General features: G+C 39.1%; 1 protein-coding gene across 17 annotated transcripts in view; it reads left to right on the top strand.

Annotated features, from left to right (window-relative positions):
* The window catches only part of RPS6KA3 (ribosomal protein S6 kinase A3), a 117,187-nt gene extending 105,220 nt beyond the window's left edge, over positions 1 to 11,967 (top strand). For 13 of the 17 annotated variants that reach the window (XM_011545561.3, XM_017029719.3, NM_001438340.1 and 10 more), the window contains 3 exons: positions 117 to 234; positions 5,629 to 5,769; positions 6,358 to 11,967. In XM_011545561.3, coding sequence (XP_011543863.1) covers positions 117 to 234; positions 5,629 to 5,769; positions 6,358 to 6,480 — 382 coding nt within the window. In that variant the 3' untranslated portion in view covers positions 6,481 to 11,967. The remainder of the gene's footprint in view (positions 1 to 116; positions 235 to 5,628; positions 5,770 to 6,357) is intronic. The other 4 variants (XM_047442335.1, XM_047442333.1, XM_047442332.1 and 1 more) reach the window with 1 other exon arrangement.

Here is a 15,540-nt window from a genome sequence, read left to right as displayed (position 1 = left end):
TTTTCACTTTGGTAGATTTTAATAAAATATTACATTAACTGAATTAGAGTACTTTTGAGATTACCAACCAAGTAATAAATTTTATTCATTAATATTTTAATTTTATTATAAATTAGTTACACTCCATTTGCAAATGGTCCTGATGATACACCAGAGGAAATATTGGCACGAATAGGTAGCGGAAAATTCTCACTCAGTGGTGGTTACTGGAATTCTGTTTCAGACACAGCAAAGGTAAGTATCACTTCCTATTATAAGATTTTGAGAAAATAACTTTTTATGATCCATAGTGAGAAGAAATACTACCAGTTAGAAACCTTTGTTTATAAATTAGTATGTTAAACTGATGTTAACAAATAATTTGAACTCGAAAATGGACCCATTATTTTGTTTCTTCCCCAGCTGACATTGGTTTGGCCTTATTATTTATACTTTTAAAACTGTTTCTCACTGAAGAACGTGATAAATAATAACCGTGGTAGTCTTCATGATTTGTCTGTCTATTGTGTGCCTCACATGCCACTTTACCTAAATTATGTCATGTAATCCTCATAACACCCTGTGAAATAGGTGGCAGTATCCCCATTTCACAGAAGGAAACCAGAGCCCGGAATGTTAGTTTGAACTTGTCTATGTTACATACCAGGTAAACATGGGTGCTTCAAACTAAATATGATTCCACAGCCCTCATTCCCTAGAATAATTATACCATGTTCTATTTTTAATTCAGATTATGAAGAAAGGGGTTTCGGTTTTTTCACGATAAACAGATGTATAGTTTCATAGCATCTGCATGAAATCGTTTGAAGAGCCCTTCTCACTGGAAGATCTGCCATCCCCTGAATAGCACTGACTTGCTCTCCAACTCTGTTCTATTTTCACTTTTTTCATAGAGAATTCTTTAAAAAAAAAATGAAGTTTTTTACTTCAAAATAAAAACAGAGTAGATAAAGAGGATACATATTGGTGAAAGTGCATATTCTTTTTTCTTAGGGGTGAAAGCTTGAGTTGAGGTGATCGTATAAGTAAATAGAACACATCAAAAGTGTATATAGATTCTGTTGGCCTAGGGCCTGAAGCCTCAGTTGACCAATTTAATGTCTGTATAGATAATATTTGGTTTTATAACTGCATTTAAAATGAAATGTTGGCCGGGCGTGGTGGCTCACACCTGTAATCCTAACACTTTGGGAGGCCGAGGTGGGCGGATCACTTGAGGTCAGAAGTTCAGAACCAGCCTGGCTGACATGGTGAAACCCCAACTCTACTGAAAATACAAAAAAATTAGCCAGGTGTGGTAGCAGGTGCCTGTAATCCCAGCTACTCGGGAGGCTGAGGCAGGAAAATTGCTTGAGCTAGGGAGGCGGAGGTTGCAGTGACCCAAGAGTGCACCCCTGCACTCCAGCCTGGGTGACAGAGCAAGACTGTCTCAAAAAAATAAATAAAAATAAATAAATAAAATGAAATGTTAGCCTTTACCTTTTTCTAACAATGTCTTAAACCAGATAATTCATTTCTCTGGGTACTTGTTTCCTTTGTAGTTCCCTTATTGAGTGCCTACAATGTGCTTAATAAATGAAGGCCTTAGAGATAAAAGATGTGACAAAGATAGAATTCCCAATCCCAGGTTGCTCACAGTCTAGTTGGGAGACAGCCAAAAATATACGGTGCAGTGTCACATGTGCTGTAACAGTGGTACAGTTTCTGTGCTAAAGAAGTACACAGACGATGCTTAGTCAGAAGGATTTTAAGGAAAGCTTTCCAGAAGCGGTGAAGGAGTTTGCCAGGCAGATTTGGGGAGCTGAAAGATGTAGTCCTAAACTGAGGGATCAGCACATGCAGATAGGTGGTGATGATAGCATGAGAATAGCAGAATGCCTCCAGGCTGGTCATTCCATGTGACTAGTGCAGGGTTGCATGGGAGAGGATAGCTGATGAACCCAGATTGTGAAAGGCTTTGTGGCTCGTGCTGAGGATTGTGGGCTTAACTCTGGGTATTGTGGAGCTGTTAAAACACATATTAAGGAGTGCAGTGATCAGATTTTCCTTTTTAAAGTGCATTCTGTGGAGCAGTAATTCTTAGCTATGGAGTCCACCACAAACTTTGTCATGATAGGTTGTGAGGTATATTAAGTATATGTTACCAATAATAAAATATCAGGGCTTACACATTAATTGATTTTTTAATAAGTTAAAGCAAGTTGAGGTTATCACTGTGATTTTCTTCATTCACTTACATCCTGGTATGCTTTTTTGGTGAGAGAGGAAGGGCAGGTAAGAATGGAGACACAGAGCATAAAAAATTACATCCAACTCACAGCCTATCTTATAGATTCCATGTTATCACTAGTAACTGTTGCTAATATGTACAGTTAAGACTTGTGATTACAAGCATGATATAATTCCATGATTAGCCACAAGATAGAAGGGAGGGCTCTATCAATCTGGGTGTATCCCCTCAAGAGCAAGTTGCATATGTGAATGTTGTCAGTCATGTGGGCCATATGTGGCTTTCAGAGCAAGAAGACTAGAGCTGGCATTTACTGAGCATTTATGTACCAAGGACTGTGCTAACACTTTTACCTATGTTGTTTCATTTAGTCCTCACTGACCTAATATTAGGGACAGTACTTGTAAGGTTTTGCAATATTTCAGGTCATGAATGATGAGGACCTATATTAGAGCAGTTGTGATGGAATTTGAGCCAAATGGAAGAGAAATTGAGGAGGCATAATAGACTTGATGGTTTATTATACATAAGAAATGAGAGAAAAGCAGTTATAATGTATGTAGTCCCCATTTCTACCTTGGGCAGATGGATGAGGGGTGGTATCCTTCACTGATTTGTAGAATACAAAAGAAGTAGTTTTGAGAGGAGTGGTGGTTGCAGATTTGGACATTATAAATTAAGAGATGTATGTCCATCAGGCAACTGTCTATATGGTTATAGGTCTTAAAAGAGAAGTCTGGGGTGACACTTAAGAGTTGTCATCATCCATAGTAGCTAAAGCCATGAATTTGAATGAGATTATCTGAGCAGAGTGTAAGAGAGCCAAGGAAAGAATTCTGGAGAGCACCACTTAAAGAGAAAGCTTAGGGGAGGAGTAGCCATTAAAGGGGCTGTAGTAAGAGAAGTAGTTTGAAGTGAGTTCACCAAAAGCTCATTAACGTATAGATTTGATTAAAATTATAATTGAGTTTTGTTGTACCCCTGGACAGTTTTGCAACCTTTTATGCAATTTTAAGCACTTTTGCCTACTTTCAGAATTGCAAAAGGGAGGTTCCTAATTTTTTTTATTTTTATTTCCAGCTCTGTTCAATTGCGTATCCCTGTTCTTAGCTGTTAATAACTAAAAGTAAGAAACCATAAATGTCTCATAGCAGAGGAGTACCTGGAACAACATCACGCTAATTCCCAAGATCTAGTTAACCACCAGATTCTGTCAGTTCTTTATCCTAAATACCTCCATTTCTCTCTCTCTCTCTCTCTTTTTTTTTTTTTTTTTTTTTTTGAGATAGAGTCTTAGTGTGTTGCCCAGGCTAGAGTTGCAGTGGTACAATCACAGCTCACTGCAACCTCCAACTTCTGGACTCTAGCTATCCTCCCACCTCAGCCTCCTGAACAGCCGGGACTACAGGCATGCACCACCACTCCCAGCTAATTTTTAAATTTTTTGTAGAGATGGAGTCCCACTACGTTGCCCAGGCTGGTCTCGAACTCCTGGGGTCAAGTGAGCCTCCCACTTTGGCCTCCCAAATTTCTCCCACGCCCAGCCCAATTTTCTCCATTACATACACCTCCCTGAAGCTGTCATCTTTCACCAGTCCATTTTCCTCCACACTCAGTGAATGTGATCTTTTTACTTAACCGCATCACTCCCTAACTTTAAACACTTTATTACCATCAAATAAGTCCACGTTTGCAAATATGGCTTACAGGGACTTTCCTGATCTGGTCCCTTCTCATCTCTCCCACTTTATCCACTGCCACATTCTCCTTCACGGTAAATTTATGCTGTAGCCGCATTGTACTGCTGCCAGTTCCTTAACTGTGTCGTCTTCTCTCCCACCTAAGAGCGTTCCTCCAAACTCACTCTCCATTCTCTCTACTCTACCTGAGGCAGTGTTTCCCCCTTCCTTTCTCTAATCTAGCTCCTGCTTATCCTACAGGTCTTATCTTCCTCTTAAAAAGTCCCTTTTAAGCCACCTCACACAGTACAGTCAGGTATCTCTGTGTCCCTCCAGCTGCACCTGGTGTTTGTTCATCCTGTCAAAGAACTTACTTGCTTTGTGATTATTGATTCTTTATCTCTCCTTCACTGAACTGAAAACTTCATGAAGTCAGAGTTCATTTTGTCTTTTTTTTTTTTTTTTTTGAGACAGGGTCTCGCTCTGTTGCCCAGACTAGAGTACAGTGGTTCAATCACGGCTCACTGCAGCCTTGACTTCCTGGGCTCAAATGATCTCTGCCTCAGCCTCCCAAATAGCTGGGACCTCAGGCATATGCCACCACACTCAGCTTTAAAAAAAAAAAAAATTGTAGATACAGGACCTCACAATGTTGCCTAGACTTCATTTCTGTGTTGTTCATTGCTAACTACCCAGTGCCTAGCAGAATGCCTGGCCTTTACTGGATACTTAACAAATGTATTTTGAATGAAAAATTTAAAAAATGGTGGCTTTTATAAATGACAGTGGTGTTATTTTGAAGAGTGTAAAACCATGTAGTGATTATATGCATCTACATTGCATGCATAGGAATGGCATTTAGATAGATATGCAGTGCTAACAGTGACTGTCTCTGGAAGAGTGGGATTATGGAACTGTTCCTCATGTGCTTTCACATTCCAGTATTTTCTGATTATTCTCTAATGCCCATGGGTTGCTTTTGAAGTAGGAAAAAAAATACTATAGTCTTTTCAGGGGGCATTTAGAGCCCTCCAATTAAATTCCTGTTATTGGACATTCATGTTTTTTTTTTTCAGTATTACCAGCAGCACAAAAAAAGTCTTAAGTAACTGAATATTACTTAAAAATAAACTGGCCAAGCACAGTGGTTCACATCTGTAATCCTAGCACCTTGAGAGGCTGAAGCGGGAGTAACACTTGCATCCAGGAGGTGGAGACCAGCCTGGGCAACATGATGAAACCCCATCTCTACTAAAAACATAAAAGTTAGCCAGGCATGGTGGCGCACACCTGTAGTCCCAGCTCTTTGGGAGGCTGAGGTGGGAGGATCACTTGAGGCCAGGAGACAGAGGTTGCAGTGAGCCAAGATCATGCCACTGCACTCCAGCCTGGGCGACAGAATGAGACCCTGTTTCAATAAATAAATAAACCTACAAAAATGTAGGAAACTCAGAAAATCTGAAGGAAAAAAGAGCCAGAGTACTTAAAGATATATAAAATGTGCTAAATTGACCCCTTGTGATGCACCAAATTACAGTTATTTAGCAGGGAAAAAGCGGAGACTGATTTTTTTTCCCCCAAATTACCATGTTGACCAAAGGGCTGCTACCAGAAAAAGCAGTATCACAGAAGCTAAGGAAGAATGTTCATTAGTATCAAGAGCCATAGAAAAAGAAGCAAAACAAAAGGTTTAAGCTTGTTTTATTATTCCCATTACAGGACCTGGTGTCAAAGATGCTTCATGTAGACCCTCATCAGAGACTGACTGCTGCTCTTGTGCTCAGACATCCTTGGATCGTCCACTGGGACCAACTGCCACAATACCAACTAAACAGACAGGATGCACCACATCTAGTAAAGGTGAGCAGCCCCATACAGTCACTGTTTTCCACAGGTCCTCCAGGAGAGACTTCAAGAAGCCCTGTCCATGCCCCCAGCACCTTTCTCTTTCATCCTGCATCCAGTTCTGTTGTGGGATTCTCTTACAGTGGGTGACTTCGAAAAGCTCAAGGCATATCAATATATTAGTAATAAAACTAGTTTAAGAGCGACTTTTGAATTCCTCTCAGTCTACATGAGTAGGTATTCACTATCAATAAGGACAGATTAAGCTTATGGATTTCCCAACTTAAAGAGCATGCCTTCCTGTCTCTTTAGTGCCTTTATGCATTAAAGGAATGCAAAGGGAAAAAATGTTGAATAGTCCTGAGAAAAGTGAGGACTGCCTGTTATGAGCCTATCTTTGTTCTCTCTCATACATAATTTTAACCTCCATGTTGGCCTCTACAGTTTTGGTTAAGTCAGTGGATTTGACCAGTGTGGTTATTTTCATTATGAACCAAATAAAATCTATGTACATTTGCATATGAAAAAACTCTTCATTTTGTATTTGTGTACGTGTGACTATCCATTGTCACTTTTGTTACTACCTTTATTTCCTTTGTTCAGGGTGCCATGGCAGCTACATATTCTGCTTTGAACCGTAATCAGTCACCAGTTTTGGAACCAGTAGGCCGCTCTACTCTTGCTCAGCGGAGAGGTATTAAAAAAATCACCTCAACAGCCCTGTGAAGTGACCTCAGTGAGATATTTGGTACCATGGTGTAAGCTGATAGCACAAGTTCTGGCGACAGGTAGCACGTATCTGAGAGACACCTGCAAGCACACACTGTCCCAGCTGGTACCCATAATGCTGCTGTTCCTGCTGCTGCTCCTGCTTTCCTCTCTTCTCGCTTTAAATGATTGTTAGCAAGTTAGATTTTCCTGGAGCTTCGGAAGAAATGAAAATGGAAACATGATGAAGATATAGTCACTGAATCAATGAGAAAAATAATGAACATATGAATACCACCTAAAAATACACTGAATAAAGTACACCATATAGCATTATTTTTATAGGAAATATTTCATGTCCCTTAAATATTCTTTGTTAGTTATAGGGATGGACAGTTTATGTTAAGCACTTAGCTTAAACAATCCGTTTATATTAGCACTGTATCCCTTGTGCCATCCAACATTTTGTATGTTTTTGTAAACAGTTCATATACAGTACATTTCTGTACTGCTTTCTTTAATGTATACATGCCTTGTTTAACTTGGAATCTATTATTATTAATCAATTGACTATTAAATCTGGTTAAATAGTTCACCTGGATTAACAGTATTGTTGGACAGTCCTAAAAATGGCCAGATTGTGGAACAGCTGTTGAATGTAATACTTCCAAAATGTACATATCTTTCCCCACGTCTGTTTCACTGGTTCGTTCATTTGTTTGTTTCTTAAAGTCAGGTGCTCTGTCAGACTAACCTAGAGAGCTGTTATGGTAGAGAAAGTTATCATATGTGTGTGGCATGAAATCAAGAATACACCTATGAAGTTAGTCCATATACTTTGCAACTCCTTAGAGTACTTTTTTCCTTAATTAAGGAAGTAGTCCTTGCACTTCTAATCTTACATAGCATCCATACTTAGAATTTGGCATATCATCTGGGATTTTGCCAATATACGTCAAAGCCCTTTAAGAGTCATGGTAAGGAGATGGGTGAAGGAAAATTTAGCAACAGGTAATTGAAGTCCTATTGGATATTTCATGTTTAAATAGATATTCTATATTAAACACTAATTTAAATGTAATAAAGGCCAAAGGCCTCTGTATGAAATTGGATTTAAACTTTCTTATTTTAGGGAATAAAACATTATTGATCAAACAGTATCTGTTCTAACCTAAAATTATAGGTAGGGCAGGCTAAGTGAACAGCATTGAGTATTTTCTGAATCCCTCATGATAATTTATAGCCACATACTGCTTCCTTTGACTTCAGGAATGATCAGTTTTCATAATGGCCACTGGGCCTGCTTAGATTGCAGTATTCATTATCTGCATCTAATTTGGTAGTTTCCACAATCGTATTTGATGAAAGAAACTTCAGTCCCCATTATTACCTGTGTCTTTGCCAAGCTGCCTAGCATACATCAGTATGTAATGTAAAAGACATATGAGCAAGAAAAAAGTGATTTAACTTACCTCATCAAGAATGTGCCCCTACAGGCCGGGCGCAGTGGCTCACGCCTGTAATCCCAGCATTTTGGGAGGCCGAGGCAGGTGGATCACCTGAGGTCAGGAGTTTGAGACCAGCCTGGCCAACATGGTGAAACCCCGTCTCTACTAAAAAATACAAAAATTAGCTGGGCATGGTGGCGTGCACCTGTAATCCTAGCTACTCAGGAGGCTGAGGCAGGAGAATCGCTTGAACCTGGGAGGTGGTGGTTGCAGTGAGCCAAGATCACACCATTGCACTCCAGCCTGGGTGACAGAGTGAGACTCTGTCTCAAGAAGGAAAAAAAAAAAAAAGAATGTACTCATACAGATTTTTGTTAGTCATCATGTAATAAGCCATTTATATCAGAAACCTTTTTTCCTGCCACAGAAGCTTTAAATTTTCCCCTAAGAGTACAAAGCCAAGAGAGTGTGGTTTATCTAAATGTCCTGAAATCCACTTGTCATTCCTTAATTTCTCCTCTATGCAATTAAAGAGAAAGGGGAAATCTATAACATTTCTTTTGCCCAAGTGACACAAAAATGATTACTGCATAGAAATCAAATGTAAGTTTAGCTTCTAAATGAAATAATATATAGGAGGGATATCAGAATGTCTAGATAGAGAAAGTATTTTCAAATTCTTGAATATATGGATGCTATTAAAAGCTGCTTTCCATTGCCTGGAAAGAGAGCTTTTTTCCCTCCTCTATTCAGTGTTTCAAACTTTGGTCATCTCAAATTATTGTCACTTTTAAAATGTTAATGTCATTCTGAGCAGAAATAGATATATTTTCAGATTTTTTTACACTGATGCTACTCCGTAATTGCTTAGGAGTATTGTCCATCATAGTATTTTAGAACTAGAAGTAAACACATAAATCCTTATAAATTACCCAATCCAACTTTCTCATATTGCATGTAGAGAACCTGAGACACATATCAAAGTCTAGAATCCTTAACTTCTCCCCATTTTGTTTTTTTCCGCCTCATCACACCATGCTGCCTTTCCCTCATATGATCACCAACCAGTAGCTGAGTTCAAAAACTACATATTTCTTGGGCAGTCCTCTACTGGTATGTGATGCCAACTTTTATTTCTTTCGAAGATAATTGCCTTCTTTGCCTAGCCAAGCAGCCAATTTTATTGGAGAAAAGCAAGTTATATGTTCACAAAATGGAAGGCTTTCTACCTAAATTTATTTCATCTGTGGTCCTCTTATTCTCTTCCATTGCTTTTGACATACAGTGGAAAAACTTGGCCAACGATGTGCTCTAAATATAGTGCTTGTGTTGGGTTAACTTTTCCATTAATTTCTCAACATCAATTATTCAGGCCCCTACAGTTGTGGTATTGAGGCCCCTAAAGGCTTCTGCCTTTCACCAATTAGTGCTGCCAGTTACTGAGGCTTCTCCCAAAAGGTATCAGTCCAGTCTTAAAGATATTTCATTGTGAAAGAAGAAACTAAACTATCAGGCCTCTTTTACAAAATGAGAGATTGAATTTAAGCTTGTCAAGCACGTACTGGAAGGTATGAATTACACTACCATGTGTTTTGTATCTTCCCTTTCAAGTGATGATGTTAAATGAAGGTAAGTTTTTCATCCTTTTTTAATTTTTGTTTTTTATAAATCATTTCAGCTTTTTCTGGTTTATAGAGGTGTCTTATTTCTAATGCAACAGACCCCCAACTTTAACAGATTTGATATGGATGCATTTATTCACAAGCAACCCCAAAAGTCCAAAAATGTAATAATTTTGACAAGGCCCAAAGTTGAGATGCTATGAAGCTTGTGTGTGTGAAAAGTCAGTTATGATTGTCTGGAGAGAAGCTGTGGTGTGTATGCTGTAGAGTTTCCACATTTCACATGCAGTGTACTCCAAAAAGCGGGTTTGGGTCAACCATTTCCCATCTCTTTTTAAGAAGTGACTGCTGTTGGGGCCAGGGGACATCATGGGAGGTGGGGCTGTCCAGTTAGCTGTGCCCTGCACCTTCAGCCCAGGAAAGATTTGAACAGAGCAAAGGCTTCAAGAGAGGGCAGAATGTATTCGGCAGAAAAGGGACTCAGGTAAGCCCAGCCTGGGATGAGAGCAGAAAAGCATTCAAGATTTGCAGGCCTTGCTATGGATGCGCTTAATCACCATGGAGGCCAGCAATACCCATCTCAGCATGGCTTTGATATTCTCTACTTCCTGGCCTTTAAAAATGACCTATAATTTTTCAGTTTGCTTTACTATATTTTATAAAGAAAATTCTATCTTATGGTTGATTGAGCATTGAGACTTATGAAGGCATTAGGATAGATAGCTCAGGAATGTAAAGGTTCAGAAAAGGTCTGTTTTCTCAGATTAACAAATATGATGGATTCCATGGCTGACCTTGGTGCTTAAACCAGGAGGTTTCAATCTAGTCCTAGAGTTGTGTCCCTCTGAAAGGCCCAATGCCATGTAACTAACTTTAAACTGGATATATACTTTGAGCCTTACTTAATTCACAGATAAGTTGACTTAACTCAGTATTTTTATTTCAATTAATGAAAACAGTCCTCTTTTCAACCCCAGGTTGCTTACATTTTGCTGGTCTCCCCAAGTGACCATTGGTGGAGACCAATTAATGAAGGAATGAAATTCACTTTATTGGGACTGTGGTATTCAACAGAGCCACACTTAACCACTTTTTCCAATGAAGAATCTCCAGAATGATAATGCCCAAATATGGATGGCCAAGAAGAATTTGTATCTACGGTGTGCTTTATGTGTTTTTGACACTGCTGTATTCTGTGTGATCAAGTGATTTGCAGCTGGTTCCAATGTGACTGAGTGTTCTCAAAGATTTCTAGTAACTAAGTCAACTTAATTTTCTTAAGCCTGGTATTACTATCAGCCTCACATTTACCACTTTGATTCTAGTTTTTTAACTGTTCATAACAGGGCATACCGAGGGTTGGGATGAGAGCCTACTTCCTACCTCTTAAGGCACTTTCCTCATTATTTTGCCATATAATCTTGAACTGCATGATAAGCTGTTTAAATGTCCATGACTTCTCCCAGAGCAACTAGCAAAGTATATGACATTTTGAATAGAGATTAGTGGAAAGGAAAATGTAGAGATTTAAGTTCAGAGGTACAAACCTCAATAAAACCTCCTTAGAGCACATACCATGAGTAGAGTATATGTAAACGTATATGAGAAGAGAGTCGCTATAATAGTCCTCTCTAAGTAGATTAGTTCATTGTCTAATGGAAGTGAACATCTTTACTCCTGTTATCACCATAGTACTGAATGAACTGTATAATGAGTTTTTCAAACAAGTATTTAAAATAGAACTTTCACGTACAAAGCAAGGGCATAAAGATTTTGGTTTGTGTTTCTGTAAGTGTAGTTTACCATCTAAAGCTTTGGTTTTTAATTTTAAAAAAAGCTTCAAGGTATTGCCATTCCTTAGCATCCTTATTGATTATGGGTGATGAGTTTTTAACTCTTAAAATCATATACGTGTATTAGTTTATCTTAACTGTTGCCCTAAGCAAAAGGGAAGGTATACACCTAAGGGATGTACTTATTTTGCATTTTTGGTCATGGGTGGGAATGGGGTGGGTGCCTACTTAAATAGTTTTTAAAAAAGAAAAAAATCACAAATATTTTTCTACTGTTATATATGATCTTCCTTTATACTAGTTTCTCTCTAGTAAGGCATGCCAGAAGCCCAAGATACCATATCATGAATTCTTACATATTGTACCTTTTGTTGGTGGTTAAATCGCATCAGATGCTTGGCATTGCTGCCATAATTATAAAATGCTTGTAAAGGATCAAATATCACTAAATACTTTAAATTGTTTTACTTAAGAGTCTAATCTGGGAAGTTTTCAAATCATACTATTAATGTGTAATCTAAGCTCTTCAGATGTATCCATGAATAATCCTGGAACAATATTGCTTGTATTCCTGTCATAGAACAGGTTTTGTAATCTTTAAAAGAAATGAAAATTTATATAATAAAGTTTCAAATCAATGCATGTTTGTCCCTTTTATCAGATTATTTTCATCATGTAATCCTTTATAATGTAAAATTCTATCCAAAGTATATTTTTGAAACTAGATTGATAGAACATAAAACAGGAATATTTAAGAAGTGCAAAATAATTTTTCCATGCATAATCTTGTTTCATTCAAAGGGTTTGTCAAGTCAAACACATAAATCATAGATCTTACCCAATACCAAACTTTTAATGAATCAAAGGATATGGGATGATCACCAGACACAGAAGAAATATTCTTTTTTTAGAGAAGTCCAAAATGTTAGAGAGTCCAGCTCCAAAAATGGCCCTTTTCTCTCTCGGTGCACTTTGGATTCAAAAAGGACAAGTTTCTTTCTGAGCGTTGTATGTGGAGACCTTGTTCAAACAAAGGGAGTCATTTGATTTTGCAACATCTCCTTTTTATACTTCATTATGCAGTTTAAATGAGCCCTCATTCTCCAGCCAGTCATGCCTCATGAATCCACAAATCCCAAGTTTTACAATAAACCATCTATAAAGACCAAGTATATCTTGCTAAAAGCATTTTAGAGATAAGGACTTTACATTTTCTCTCTGGTAATATCAGCACATTTTAGAGGAAATTTGATTGAGTTCATTGATTCCTAGTAGAGAGGGAATGGGTTATATAGGCCTGAAGTTAGCCTTTTCTTGCCCAGCTGACATTTCTTAGTAGTTCCATATTATGAAATACCACACATTGAGTGACTTAATCAGAATTTATTTTCTCACAGTTCTGGAGGCTGGAAGTCCAAGACCAGGGTGCTTGTAGGGTTGGGTTCTTCAGAGACCTCTCTCTTTGGCTTATAGTTGGCCGCCCTCTTGCTGCCTCTTCACATGGTTGGTCCTCTGTGCGTGTGCAGCCTTGGTGTTCCTTTTTTTATAAGGACACCAGTCATGTTGCATTAGAGCCCCACTCTAACAGCCTCATTTTAATTCAATCACCTCTTTAAAGACTTTATCTTCAAATACTGTTACATTCTCAGGTACTGGGGGTTGGGACTTCAACATAAGGATTTGGGGAAGGTAACAATTCAGCCCATAACAGCTGGTTCAGGGGCTATCCACTTGGATTTAGGTACTCGAGATAAGATGGCGACCTTCAAGGTCTACTTGGCATTATGCTGAGGCAAGGTAGGAATGTTAACTGTATTTGCTTTCTACCATTTTTGTAACAAATTACTACAATTTAGTGGCTTAAAACAACACAAATTTGTTATCTTACACTTCTGGAGATCAGAAGTCCAATACAGGTCTCACTGAGCTAAAATCAAGGTGTCAGCAAGGCTGCTACGTTCCTTTCCAGAGGCCCTAGGGAAGAATTGTTTCCTTGCCTCTTCCAGTTTCTAAAGGCTGCCTCCATTCCTTGACTTATGGCCCATTCCTTCATCTTCAAAACCAGCAACAGTGGGTCAAGTCCTCTCCATATGCATCTTTTTGCCCCTCCTCTTCTGCCTCTTCCACTTTTAAGGACTCGTGTGATTAGATTTCACCTACGCACGTAATCTAGGATAATCTCTCCATCTCAAGGTCAACAGATTAGCAACATTAATTGCATCTGCAACTTTTATTCCCTGTTGCCATGTGAGATAACATAATTCACGGATTCCAGGGATTTGGACATGGACATCTTTGAAGTTCATTAGTCTGCCTACCATGATTATAGAAACACCTGGCTTCTCAGACAGACTGACACAGAGTAGCAGTATTGGCCATGGTCAGGCTTCTGCAGCTTTATATTAATGTACCCTGAATTCATAAAATTGACACACTAAAAAAAAGCTAGGTAAAGGAAGTGCAGGATGCTGTAGGAATATGTAGCAGGGTTGCCTAGGGATTAGAGCAGACCTTCTAAGGAAACAATTATTAATCTGAGACCTAAAAGGGCAAGGGAGAAGGGTAGAATAGAATGTATAGAAATTCGGAATTAGAGGCACTCAAAAGTTCTGTATGACTAGAACTTAAAAAGTAAGAGAAGAAGAAATAATGTGAGGCTCAAGAGATAAGCAGGAGCCAGATCATCAAAGGCATAATAAATCATATTAAGGAATTTGAATTTTATACCTCTGGGGTTTTCCCCCACAGTCCCCAGTCTTTATTTCCTTTTTTATCCAGACTGAACCTCATGGCCCCATAGTTGATAATCTGAACTTCTCTCTTAGAAGCACCCGCAACTTCCTTATATTTTTCCCTTATTCTGCACCCACTGAGCAAAAAAAAAAAAAAAAAAAAAAAACTCCAATCCTGGATCATTTTGGTTAATGATTGTATGCAGTCAGCTATTGTATGGAAGAAATGTAACCACCCAGTGGATTCACCTTGCTCTGTGGAGACAGAGCCAATTTATCAAGACAGGAGAATTGCAGTAGAGAAAGAGTAATTCATGCAGAGCCAGCTGTATAGGAGACTGGAGTTTTATTATTACTCAAATCAGTCTCCCTAAGCATTCAGGAATCAGAGTTTTAAAGGATAATTTGGTGGGGGGTCGGGGGGCGGTGAGTCAAGAATGCTGATTGGCCAGGTCAGAGATGAAATCATAGGGGATTGAAGCTGTCCTCTTGCAATGAGTCAGTTCCTGGGTGGGGGCCACAAGCTCATATTAGCCAGTTTATTGATCTGGGTGGTGCCAACTGATCCATCAAGTGCAGGGTCTGCAAAATATATCAAGCACTGATCTTAGGCTTTATGATAGCGATGTTATCCCCAGGAGCAATTTGGAGAGAGTCAGAATCTTGTAGCCTCCAGCTGCATGACTCCTAAACCATAATTTCTAATCTTTTGGCTAATTTGTTAGTCCCACAAAGGCAGTCTAGTCCCCAGGCAAGAAGGGGATTCATTTTGGGAAAGGGCTGTTATCATTTTTGTTTTAAACTGTAAACTAAATTTCTCCTAAAGTTAGTCCAGCCTACACCCAGGAATGAACAAGGACAGCTTGGAGGTTAGAAACAAGATGGAGTTGGCCAGGCACGGTGGCTCACGCCTGTAATCCCAGCACTTTGGGAGGCCGAGGTGGGCGGATCACGAGGTCAGGAAATCATAGACCATCCTGGCTAACATGGTGAAACCTCGTCTCCACTAAAAATACAAAAAATTAGCCGGGCATGGTGGCGGGCACCTGTAGTCCCAGCTACTCAGGAGGCTGAGGCAGGAGAATGGCGTGAACCCGGGAGGCGGAGCTTGCAGTGAGCCGAGATCTCACCACTGCGCTCCAGCCTGGGCGACAGAGTGAGACTCCGTCTCAAAAAAAAAAAAAAAGAAACAAGATGGAGTTGGAGTTGGTTAGGTCAGATCTCATTGTCTCAGTTACAATTTTGCAATGGTGGTTTCGAAAACCATATAATTATGCAAACTGATACCACTGCAAATTTATATTTTCTAACCTCAGCTAAACCCTCAGTACCATTTGTCATTTGATCCGTCTCCTATTTCTTTAATAGTTTTATTGAGATATAGTTTACACGCCATACAGTTCACCATTTAAAGTGTACAATCTAGGCCGGGCATGGTGGCTCATGCCTGTAATCCCAGCACTTTGGGAGGCCGAGGCAGGTG

This window comes from Homo sapiens, chromosome X (genome assembly GCF_000001405.40).
Source record: "Homo sapiens chromosome X, GRCh38.p14 Primary Assembly".
Lineage (NCBI taxonomy): Eukaryota > Metazoa > Chordata > Mammalia > Primates > Hominidae > Homo > Homo sapiens.
The sequence above is the reverse complement of the archived record's forward strand: the minus strand, read 5'-3'. Positions and strand labels throughout refer to the sequence as shown.